At 38.8% G+C, this 12,710-nt stretch overlaps 1 protein-coding gene across 13 annotated transcripts in view; it reads left to right on the top strand.

The window, feature by feature from the left end:
* GRIK1 (glutamate ionotropic receptor kainate type subunit 1) overlaps positions 1–12,710 on the top strand; it is a 403,064-nt gene that overhangs the window by 243,957 nt on the left and 146,397 nt on the right. For 10 of the 13 annotated variants that reach the window (NM_175611.3, NM_001330993.2, NM_001320616.2 and 7 more), the window contains exons 2-3: positions 1,977–2,144; positions 6,055–6,312. The exons of 1 other annotated variant lie outside the window; for it this stretch is intronic. In NM_175611.3, the coding sequence (NP_783300.1) occupies positions 1,977–2,144; positions 6,055–6,312 (426 nt within the window). The remainder of the gene's footprint in view (positions 1–1,976; positions 2,145–6,054; positions 6,313–12,710) is intronic. 2 more of the 13 variants (NM_001320618.2, NM_001393426.1) reach the window with 1 other exon arrangement.

Below are 12,710 nucleotides of genomic sequence, written 5' to 3'. Positions count from 1 at the left end.
AAGTAGGATCAGGGTAATTTCTTTGAATTACAGTCTGTCCATTGGAGTTCCCTTTCTAACAAAAAATGCACATAAATGACGCGCATGATGCGTATTTGTGATTTTCGTTTCAGACTTTTTCTATATTCTTTTTTTTCCCCCTTTGAATGGAGAGAGAACTGAGAGCACTTGTAAATCAACCTAGCATAGACAAGTTAGGTAAAACCTACAACTGACTTTTGGTAAGGGATCACTCAATCCTGAGAGTAGATAAAAAATAGCAGCCTGGGCCAGGCACGGTGGCTCATGCCTGTAATCCCATCACTTTGGGAGGCTGAGGCAGGCAGATCACGAAGTCAGGAGTTTGAGACCAGCCTGGCCAATATGGTGAATCTCCATATCTACTAAAAATACAAAAATTAGCCAGTCATGGTGGTGCATGCCTGTAATCCCAGCTACTCAGGTAGCTGAGGCAGGAGAATTGCTTGAACCTGGGAGGCGGAGGTTGCAATGAGCCAAGATTGCACCACTGCCCTCCAGCCTGGGCAACAGAGCAAGACTCCATCTCAAAATATATATATATAGATAGATAGATAGATAGATAGATAGATAGATAGATAGATATTGATATAGATATAGATATGTCAGCCTGCAAGTTACAAGTGTTTAGCATTCCATGAGCATCAGTTAACATGTACTTTCAAAAGAAATGAGGAGTATTGGTCAATCAAGGAGTAACTTAAATGGAGATGGGTTAAGAAAGCTTCCACTGTAGGCCCTGTGTCTATTAATAATCCTAGGACGTCTCTCAGAAAACATCTAAGAACTGTACAGTTAACAACACTTACATTGTTTCTGTCAAACATCAATGTCTCAAGCAAAATCAGAGCTCATTCTCTGATGAGGCTTTAAGCACTAACATTTTGTACTGTTACTTGCAGTGAGATCCTCATGTTTAAGACACCAGAGCCTACCTAGAACATGTGCACTTGCTCAGTGAAGGGACATATTTCTTCAGTTACCTGATGCAGGTTTGCTTTGGACTAAACAGTTTCTAAAAACAAAAAGGAAAAGAAAGAAAGAAAAAAAGAAAAGAAAGAAAAAAAACCAGTTCTTTGAATATTCTCATGCACTTTGGAAAGTACTAGAATATGATCTCAGAATTCTGAGCCATGAAGCACAAAAAAGGACATTTTTATCTTGAAAAATCTAACAGTATGTATGTGTCATTTTGATCCCATCAACTCTGCATGATCCCCTTAGAGTCTGGAATGTAGGCTTCTGAATAGAAAGATCTTCATTCTAAAGAAGAATGGTCCTACAAGGATACAGCTCAAATTATGTTTAGATCGAGCATGGTGCAATTCTTGTCCACATCACAGAAAATCGTCCTCTGCCATATTATCAGTTACACTTTTATACCACTAAATGTTTGGAACACATTTGCCATCTGAGAGATGGTATACAGTCCAACACTGGATTTAAAATCTTAAGCATACATATGCAGTTAGTCCTATTTATCTGCATGTGGCACATGCTGATAAACTTCACTTTTAGCCCGGGATTTAGGATCTGCTCTATTACTCTATTTATCATTTGGGGTCTCTTATTTGTATATGTACATTCTTCTTTTTACTGGCCGGGTGTGGTGGCTCATGCTTGTAATCCCAGAACTTTGGGAGGTCGAGGCGGGTGGATCACCTGAGGTCAGGAGTTCGAGACCAGCCTGGCCAACATGGGGAAACCCCATCTCTACTAATAATATAATAATTAGCCGGGCATGGTAGTGCACACATGCAGTCCTAGCTACTCGGGAGGCTGAGGCAGGAGAATCGCTTGAACCCAGAGGCGGAGGTTGCAGTGAGCTGAGATCGTGCCATTGCACTCCAGTCTGGGTGACAGAGCGAGACTCCGTCTCAAAAAAAAAAAAAAAAAAAAAAAAATTACATGTGAACCATGTGACTAACGCTTCTCATGCATCTCTTTTGCTTCTGCAGGAGGGATTTTTGAAACAGTGGAAAATGAGCCTGTTAATGTTGAAGAATTAGCTTTCAAGTTTGCAGTCACCAGCATTAACAGAAACCGAACCCTGATGCCTAACACCACATTAACCTATGACATCCAGAGAATTAACCTTTTTGATAGTTTTGAAGCCTCGCGGAGAGGTAACTATTTTCCCACTTTTAAAAGCTTCTTTGGGTGATATGTCTGCTCTCCAAGTCACCTTCTTTTTGCTACCTGCCCTCTTTTAAAGCGGGCATCTTTGTGCAAATGGGTCGCGGGAAATCTGGGTCTTCGATGTCACTGATCAGTGTAATCTGAACTAACCTAATGGACGTTGCTGAGCACTGTTTTCTGGGCCTTTCTGATGAGCTTACCCTTCAGTGCCCTCCACTCTATGATTAACTAGCTCAGCTGTGAATGGAAAATGTCAAGCTTGATCTGTTTTTCCTTCCTGAAGCTGAGATACCACCATGAAATCGTGCGGTGCAGTCAAATAAAACATTATGGAAGGTCAATCCACTGAGCATGTGGAAATGCCCAGGACACACATAACTCACACCCTGAATTTTAACAGGTTGTAAACTACTGAGTTTACCTAGCATCCTCTCAACTTTTTTTTACTCTTTTCCACAAAATCATAGAAATATGAAGATTAAACCTGTGAGAGCAATGTCTACATCCGATCCTCTTTTTCTTCTGAACTGAAGCCAAGTGCCTAGCCTAAAAAGTAATCTAATTCATATGTTGGCTGCAAGGTTTCTCTCATGGAAAGATTCATTCGGAATTGTGGGGCTTGCTTAGACATCTTCTAGACAATATTAGGACAAGTCTTTGAAGTAAGATCACATAGTTGAGGGTTGGCTTCTAACAGGGACACTATCTAGTCACTAAATAAATGTGTTTATGTGGAAACAAAGGCTACTCATCACCCCAGATTGGGGGGGTTCTTTGCCTCAGAGAGGAATCCTTGCCTACTAAATACACACAAATAAGGAAACACAATGAACACCATGTTTATGCTGATTTCCAGGTTACTAAATGCTGGTTGTTTCCATGTAGAATTAATCTAGTTAGATCATAGGTTGTGTCCACCTGATACAGCCTCCTGCAAGAATTCTAGTGTTCTTTGCAAACAAAATATAAAACTTATTTTCTTAGGAGCACAGATAAAAAATTAACAACATAGCAGGGCGCAGTGGCTCATGCCGGTAATCCCAGCACTTTGGGTGGCCGAGGCAGGTGGATCACGAGGTCAGGAGATCGAGACCATTCTGTCTAACATGGTGAAACCCTGTCTCTACTAAAAATACAAAAAAAAGTAGCCGGGCATGGTGGCAGGTGCCTGTGGTCCCAGCTACCACAGGCTGAGGCAGGAGAATAGTGTGAACCCGGGAAGTAGAGCCTGAAGTAAGCCAAGATTGCACCACTGCACTCCAGCCTGGGTGACAGAGCGAGACTCCGTCTCAAAAACAAAACAAAAAACATTAACAACATAATATTTTTATATCTATGGCCTGACTTAAGTATAAAGATATTTTCTTTTTAAAAATGGGTAGACTTTGAGATATCATATGGGTCAAAATTGTCTATGGACAAATAATAAAACTATATACTTATACAGCATTTTAAAGTTTCCAAGCTATCCTCACATAAATTATCTCTATAATGTAGAGATAGATCTATCACTTTTCTTTCTCTCATCGCTCTCTCTTACACACATACACCTATGCAAACAGACACTAACACTCCTACACATTGTGGAGCAAATACTGTAGAAAGCCAACCACATTTAGCAATGGAACTCTAGCCACATAAAAATCGAAAGCTTTCCTGTGGTCTGAAGTACCTGGCTTACTTGTCAGTTAAACACCCCCAGAGCTTCTTAAAACTGGTAATTTGCTGGCAAACAGAATTCAAAAGGATTGATTTTCTGTCAAATAATATTAGTACCGCAGAGCTAACTATTAACAGGAATCTCAATCCATTGCTTATGCTGGATAGAACAACACTATCCAGCTCCACATGCTGGAGTTCACACACTCCCATACTCTCCTTTTATCTGGCTAAATAATGAAAACCTAACCAGAAAATAAGCTTCTGAAGACAATGACAGTTTACACTTCCAGCACATAATGGACAAAACTGTACATCTTCGTAGTTAATGCAGTAGTTCACTACCAAAGAGCAGAGTAGCAGAAAGTTTTTCTTGTAAACATTTGCTGTTCCTTAGATACCTGCAATATGGCTGTCAAAGTTGTATCAGTTATTCTGTCTGAATTAAGTCAGGTAACTACAGAGCCATATCATTTTTCAAACTATTTTTATTTGTAGAATGATATTAATATTCAATACAATTTTATGTATTAATTTAGCTAATTTGATATTTAATTATCTGATGACCGTTCTAAATTTGCAGAATTAAAATATAAATTTGAAAGTGTGTTTAAGCTCTTATTTAATTCCTACCAACATAAGATTAATAGGCACTATTTTACATGGTTGTAGAGGGCAAACTGCCCCAACCTTTCCGGAAGGGAATTTGGTTAATATGTTTCAAGTGACTTCAAACTATCTATACCCCTTAATTATAACTGGTAACTTAACTTCTGGAAATCTACTCTTAGAAAGTAGCACAAGATTCAGAGAAAAATATAAGAGCTAAGGTAAGTGCTATAATATTATTTATAATAGCCAAAAATTAGGAGCAGCTTAAATGTTTTGGGGGATGTTTGTTTGTTTGCTTTTTGAAACAGAGTCTCGCTCTGTCACCCCAGCTGGAGTTCTGTGGTGCTATCTCAGTTCACTGCAATCTCTGCCTCCCGGGTTCAAGCAATTCTCGTGCCTCAGCCACCCAAGTAGTTGGGACGACAGGTGCACACCAACACACCTGGCTAATTTTTGTATTTTTATTAGAGATGGGGTTTCACCATGATGGCCAGGCAGGTCTCGAACTCCTGACCTCAAGTGATCTGCCTGTCTCAGCCTCCCAAAGTGCTGGGATTACAGGCATGAGCCAAATGTTTAATATTATAGGAATGCTTAAATAAGGGATGACACACCTATGAAATGGTCTATTCTACAGACACTAAAAATATGCTTTAGGAGAATTTGTAAGGACTTGAAAAAAAGACATGCTATAGTGTTAAAGAAAGTAATATGTCAAACTGTATTTATATAATGATTCTAATTTTCCCAAATATTAATAGATATTATTCCAAAATGATAGGATGAATCCCAGAGCCTTTTTATCCCTAATTTTAAATATTCTAAATTCTCTCAGTGAGTGCTTATATTCTTATAATGAGAAAAATACATTTATGTTACAACTAAATTTTTCAGTAGATATTGACTTGATGTATTTAGGCTACCTGTCAGCTGACCCTGGGGTAGAAAGAGGCCTGATGTTGAGCTAAAGCTCCTGTCCAGTGGCCATGACTCTCTTCATTGTCTATGAAATGAGTGGGTTGGACAAAATGTCTTCTGAGATCCCTTTAAGCTATGCTATTTCATTATTTGAAAATTAATTAGACAGCAGCACTGCTTATGAACATTCTTTAGCAGTATTTCATTTACCTGGAACTTCTTTCTGAGTTTTGGAAAGATAGGAGCTAAAGCACTTTGTAGTTACCGAGAGGTTCTACATTAATTTTATAACCACATTAATATTTTCAATGCCACCCTGCTGCATGACAGAACTTAATTCATACAACACTCATTTGGCAAAGGGCTTGTTGGTAACTAGGAGTGCTTTCAGGTAACACCATACCAAGCAAGGGATTTAGACTCCATCTGATTAAAGGTAATAAAGTGAGACCAGCAGGGAGTTGGCCTTGTTGGTATATTGCTAATCAGTTCTAAGTTTACATCTATCAGTACATTAGCAGCTCAAGAAAGTTGGAAGTTGGACCAACCGTATTTCCTCAATATGCAGACAGGGATTGTAAAAGATTTTTCAATAGTTGCATTAAAAAGAGGAATCATGAAAGAAAAAATTAAATTCATAGAACTCTCTTTTTCTCTCCCCCTTTCCCTGCCCTCCCTCCCCATCCTCTCCTTGTCCTTGGGCATCAGCATGTGACCAGCTGGCTCTTGGTGTGGCTGCTCTCTTTGGCCCTTCCCATAGCTCCTCCGTCAGTGCTGTGCAGTCTATTTGCAATGCTCTCGAAGTTCCACACATACAGACCCGCTGGAAACACCCCTCGGTGGACAACAAAGATTTGTTTTACATCAACCTTTACCCAGATTATGCAGCTATCAGCAGGGCGATCCTGGATCTGGTCCTCTATTACAACTGGAAAACAGTGACAGTGGTGTATGAAGACAGCACAGGTATGGGACTCACACAAGACCTCACCCGACCATGTCTGCTCTGAACAAACAGAACGAAAGTATCAAATAGTCATTAAACTCATCAGATGGAGCATAAAAATGCTCTTTTATATAAAGCTAACTGAATATTCTGAAGTAATTTAATAATGCATGTGTATATAATTCACATTTCTTTTTGTTTGTTGATCCTTTCTAACGATCCTTTTATCATCAAATATATGGGAACTTTTTTTTAAAAGAAATATCATCTTATCAGTATATGTTATAATCCAATCACAATATTAAACATGTATTTTCATTTTTCCAGCTCTAATAAGACTATGACCACAATTGAAAATGACCATGGAATATGATTCCAACTTGATAAGTAGCTATGTAAATGTTTAGAAAAGTTTCTAACGTAAGTTAACAAAGAGGAATTCATTTAGAGGTTGTACCAATAGAGTGGATTATGTCATGGGAAAGGGACTATGAATCCCCATTGATGAGTGCTTAATAAAGCTTGCTCCATGTGCTTGTTCAGGGTGCAGGATGGAAATATGCCTGCTTGGAGTCCAGTCCTCATCAGCCACTATCTCTGACCCGCCCCCATTTGAACTTTCTTTTACTGGCACCACCCCCCTCTGCTTTCTGCTTATTGTCCAGAATTTTTCAAAAATTCAGGCCCCTTTTTATTTAAAGTCAGGCAGTGACCCTCCATTGTCCACATAATAAAGTTGAATTTCTTCTAATTCAAAACTCTTCATCATCCAGCCATTTTCATTTTCATTAACTCAGGCACTAGCTTCCCTCACTGCCTGTACTCTCACATGAGTTATGATGAAGAATCTATCATTTCTTCAATATCCCCATGTTCTCCTGACTCCTGTTTTCTGAGGCTGGCACCTCACTTTGGATGATCCTTTGCACGACCTTCACGGTGGTGAACTCCCTCATTCTCCACGACCGCACGCAAATTTCCCTCTTCCTTAAAGCTCTCTGAGACCACCAGAGGGTTCACTAGCACTTTGGAAGCAAAAGCACTGAATCCCAAGTTATATTTCAAATATCTGTTTACATGTCTGTAAGACTGGAAATTTCTAAGCATCCTAATTTTATCTTATTTATGTTTATAATCTGCTACCTGTCGTAAACCTGACATAGAGGAAACAGTTTAGTAATTCCACATGGATAGAATAATACCATTGATTGTCTGAATTTTTTTTCTCCAAGAGTTGAAATGAGTTGCTTTCCTTGATCTACACATTTTGTAATAAGATTATGAAAATTACAAGTGAAAGTTAGTAAAGTGAAACAGTGTCAAACTTTGCAATACGGTTTCGCTTTTCACTGCCCCTTTCGCCAAGCACTAGCAGTTACTATTCCTCAAAGGATGAATATGTGCCTCCTCTTTGATGTTAAACTCTGGTTCCATTTTATATAGTCAGATAAAAGTGACGAGTGTGGTTGGAAATATGCACTTATGTATTTTCTTGTGCCTCATCTCATTTTAGAAAGAATTGAAGATTCTAAGTGAGTGGGTATATATTTTATAAGTATTGTATTCGAAACAGTCCCATCAAGAAGAATAAGCTACAAGCAGCCATATTTTTAGAACTTTACCTGCTTGCTGTGAAGGAATAAATCATTATCTAATCAAATCCACACGCATACTTTAAAGGGCTTTGAAAAAGAATATCATGTTTTAAACATAAGTGTGGTTAGATCTTGCATGTTGCCTACTTTTGCTAAACATGAAATTTTGTGAGCTCATAAAATCAAGCTATAGCTCATTATGTTGTGAACTCTGTAGTATAATCATCTCTCACCATTTCTACAGCAAAGCTGGACCATCTAAAAGGAAAACATACCAATGAATAATATTGAAACTCGTGGATTTAATTTAAGAAAGAGTTCAACTAAAGACGTAGGCATTGTAGATTTCAAATTGTATTTAGACAAAATATAATTAGTAAGTAAATGACAGAAAACTTGATATTCTAACCACTCTCTGATGTCAGGTGAGCCACACATATGTGACATCCATTTTTCAAAGCAAACACCAAACTATCATTTCCATCATCTTCTACAAGAAACTGAAATGTCCTTTTCATCTTTGTCAAGTTCACCTGTGCTCAGTGACTCAATAGATACTTGTTGAAATTTACAATCCAAAATGATTTCGTATGTCGCCCATTGAGAGATGATTCAAGTTAAAATGATTTTTGCCCACAAAGACATTAAAAATGTAAATGAATAATCAATTGAGCCATTAAATTGGAACCCAGAGAATAAACAGGCCAACTGAGATCAATAAAAGCACAAGCCTTGTGACTGTGAGTGGGTTTTATACTGCTTGACTCAGGGTTCTTGCCTTTAGTAATTATCACACCATAAAAAGGAGGAAACTTAGTAAACCTAAAGGAAAAGAAAGGACTTAGGTGTGCTTAGCACCCGCCCCTACACCAGAATTAAGTACCCATTAAAGAGCACTTTATTGGGATTTGTTTAGGAGTTTGTTAAATAGCCTGAAGCCAACACAGATGTCGCGGGACCAAATGGCCCATTACTCCCATTGAAGTCAATGGGAGCAGTGTGCACGTCTCTAAGGACAAAATTCAATTCGCTAAATACTAGCAAGCAGAATTCTGTCCTCTAGAAGATAAAATGTCGAAAGACTCTGGAGAACTCTTAGGAGGAGCAAAGTTTCGTCTCGCCTCGTCTCTCTTCTCTCTCTTTCCTGGATGTCCTTCCCGTTAGTCACCTACTTGTCGCTGATTCCCACATCCAGAGGTGACCCCAGGCAATGAGAAATTGCTGCCCATTGACCTCCCCTCATGATTCATTAGACCCTGGTGGAAACCTGGCTATCACTTCACATACAGCAAAAAGAGCTGAGAAGCTGAGCCTCAACTGCAGTGTGTGGCATATTCAGCAGTTTCTGCCTTCTCAAAGCCAATCTCAGGGAAATGCACCCACAGCGATTCCTGGAGAGCAGGGATCAGCAAACTTTTTCTGTGAAGAGCCAAGTGCTGAGGCTTTATGGCCATGGGGGTCTTGGTCAAAACCACTCCACTCTGACAAAGTAGCAAGCAAGCACACGGACAATATGTAAACGAATGGACCCAGTGTGTTCCAATAAACCTTTATTTGCAAAAATACATGCTGGGCTAGGTTTGGCCTTTTGGCCCTATTTCACCTCTGCTATAGCCTTAAAAGATAAGACAACTGAGCTAAAAACTAAGATTGTAATTTTGTACACATATGAAGTGGGTTCAGCTCACATCCAAAACTCCTTCGTTTTGGTTTCTGGGTTTTCATGCCCTTCTTTCCTCCTCACTGGCCCTCCTGGCTTCCTCATCAATACGTGTCAGTCCTTTGTCTCATTATCTCTGTGGGATTTGCCAGGTGATATTCTGGTTCATTGGATAAACAAATTTTCAAAGAAGTGTTGGGGGAACAGATACCTTTCCTCACCCATCATAACAATCACAACTGACATTCCTATAACAAAAGACAGGTTAACAAGAGAAAATCATAGCAAATTTGTTTAACCAAAGTTTTACATGACTCAGGAGGCTTCAAAAATGAAGACCAAAGACCTAGGGAAAACTGTCTATTTCTATGCTTAGATTCCATGAAGAATGAACAACATGTGGAAATGTGATTGGACAAAAGGGTAGAATCAGTGGTAATAGGCTGAGGGGGAAAGCCCAGCAAGGCCTGTGTGTTCGGATTCTTCTTAGCCTCTCTGTGCAGTGTTCCTTCCTCCTGAGCATGGGTCAGGGCCCCTATGAAATAAGAGTCTTCAAGGGAAAAGAGAATCTTTCTAGATTTTATATCTTGCTTTTGGGGAGAGGAGTTCTAGCTTCTATGCTCCACTTAGGGAAGTGAAATTCTACTTTCTATGACTCACGTCAGTGGATTAAGAGGGGTAGGATACCGGGGGTCAGGAGAAAGTCAGAAAGACCTTGTTTCTGAGAACTTTCCAGTCTTTTTCAGTTCAAAGTAGTCAGCATGCCAAGGTGCCATATTTTGGGGTGTCATGTTCTGAGCCCCAACAGTGTTAATGGCTAATAATGACTTAAAATGCTGTTTCTTACTTTAAACTAATCATAGCACATTTTAGGTTTGGCTCTCTTAAAAGACAACAAAAGCATTGAATATTGCATGCCACAGAGAGTGGGATTTCAAAGTGTTTTCTTATGCTTGGTTAGGCGATTACCTACGCAGTCAGCATAGAGAGCAAATAAGCAAGTGCTAATTCAAATTTCAGTGGCAAAACATTAAAAAAAAACAAAAAAAACTCCTATTCTGCTTAGCTTTTATTTTGTGAATGATTAAGAAAAACCTACTTTATAGTTTTGCCTGTCTCTCTTCTCTACTTTAACTTGTCCTTAACTAAACTGGCCCAAAGTTTATATTCATTTGGTTCAGGTGATATTTTCTGAAATATTGGGGAAAATAGTCAAGACAGCACATATTTGCATACTCTGTACTATGGCTGCCTTTTCCTGAGATCTAAATGGCTTCTGCAATACGTTGTTTGAAAGTTTTATTTTTATATAGTTTTTTAAAAAAGATTGCTTTGTTTAGAAAATGTTAAAATGAAGAAAAGTGTAAGGACATAAACAAAAATATCCAGAAAACCTATCACAGATAGTGTCTTAGTGTATATTATTTTAGATATTAGATAGGCAGGCAGGCAGGCAGACAGACAAGGAGATAAACAGGTAGGTAGATAGATAAATAGATACATACATAATAGATAGATAATAGATCATGATAGGTAGATGATAGATATTAATAGACAGATGATAGGTAGATGATAGACAATAGGTAGATAAATGATGAATGATTAATAGAGGACAGATACATGATAGAAAATAGATCATGATAGGTAGATACTAGGTTGGTGCAAAAGTAATTGCGTTTTTGCAGCCGGGTGTGGTGGCTCACGCCTATAATCCCAGCACTTTGGAAGGCCAAGGCAGGTGGATCACAAGGTCAGGAGATCGAGACCATCCTGGCTAACACGGTGAAACCTCGTCTCTACTAAAAATACAAAAAAAAATTAGCCTGGCGTGGTGGCGGGCGCCTGTAGTCCCAACTACTCGGGAGGCTGAGGCAGGAGAATGGCATGAACCCAGGAGGCGGAGCTTGCAGTGCGCCAAGATCGCACCACTGCACTCCAGCCTGGGCGTCTGAGCAAAGACTCCATCTCAAAAAAAAAAAGTAATTGCGTTTTTGCTATTAAAAGTAGTGGCAAAAACTGCAATTATTTTTGCACCAACCTAATAGCTGATAGGTAAATGATAGATTAGATAGATATATAAATAAGTAGATGATAGATTAGATAGATGATAGGTAGATGATCAATTAGATAGATAGTTGATAAATAGTGAATATAGTTGACAGCTAAATAGATATATGATAAACGGTAGATAGATGATAGATAGATAGATAGATAGATAGATAGATAGATAGATAGATAGAGATGATAGATTCCCTTGTTTCATAGACATTTACTGCCAGACATTATCCTAAGTAATGGGGATAAACCACACACAAAAATATCTGACTTCATGGAATCCACAGTCTGTTTCTCTAATGAACAAAATATATAGTAAATATTTAGTAGATAGACAGTAGAAAATGTTATGAAGGAAAATAAAGCATCAAACAGTATTCGGGAGACCGACAGTAGAGATGAGGTATACAGTTTTATGTAAGGATACCAGGGAAGTGCTCTAGAAAATAACGTTTGAGTAAAAATTTAAAGAGGATAAAAAACAAATCATGTAGATACCTGGGGGAGAGCATTTCAGACATCAGGCAGAGGGAACAGCCAGTGCAAAGGCCCTGACAAAATAACTATTTCCTGGTAGCACTGTGCTGAACCCCATCATTAAGTATTTCATATCATGGAGGCTTTGCATATGTAAATAGCTAAAGGACAATATTTAATAATTTCAACTTTTGGTTTAGATTAAAGGGTACATATGAAGGTCGTTGCATGGGTATATTGCATGATGTTGAGGTTTGGAGTATGAATGATCCTGTCACCCATGCAGTGAGTGAGCACAGGTACCAATAGGTACTTTTTCAGCCCTTGCCTCCCTCCTCTAGTAGTCGCCAGTGTCTGTTCTTCCCATCTTTATGTCCACGTGTACCCAATGTTTAGCTTTCACTTATAAGTAAGATCATGGGTATTTGGTTTTCTGTTCCTGTGTTAATTCACTTAGGATAACGGCCTCCAGCTGCAACCATGTTGCTGCAAAGGACATGAGCTTATTCTTTTTTATAGCTGCATAGTATTCTGTGGTGTGTATGTACCATATTTTCTTTATCCAATCCACCACTGATGGGCATCTAGGTTGATTCCATGCCTTTGCTATTGTGAATAGTGCTGTAATGAA

The sequence above is a fragment of the Homo sapiens genome, chromosome 21 (assembly GCF_000001405.40).
Source record: "Homo sapiens chromosome 21, GRCh38.p14 Primary Assembly".
In the NCBI taxonomy this organism is placed as follows: Eukaryota; Metazoa; Chordata; class Mammalia; order Primates; family Hominidae; genus Homo; species Homo sapiens.
Note: the sequence above shows the minus strand (reverse complement) of the source record. Positions and strands in the feature narration are given on the sequence as shown.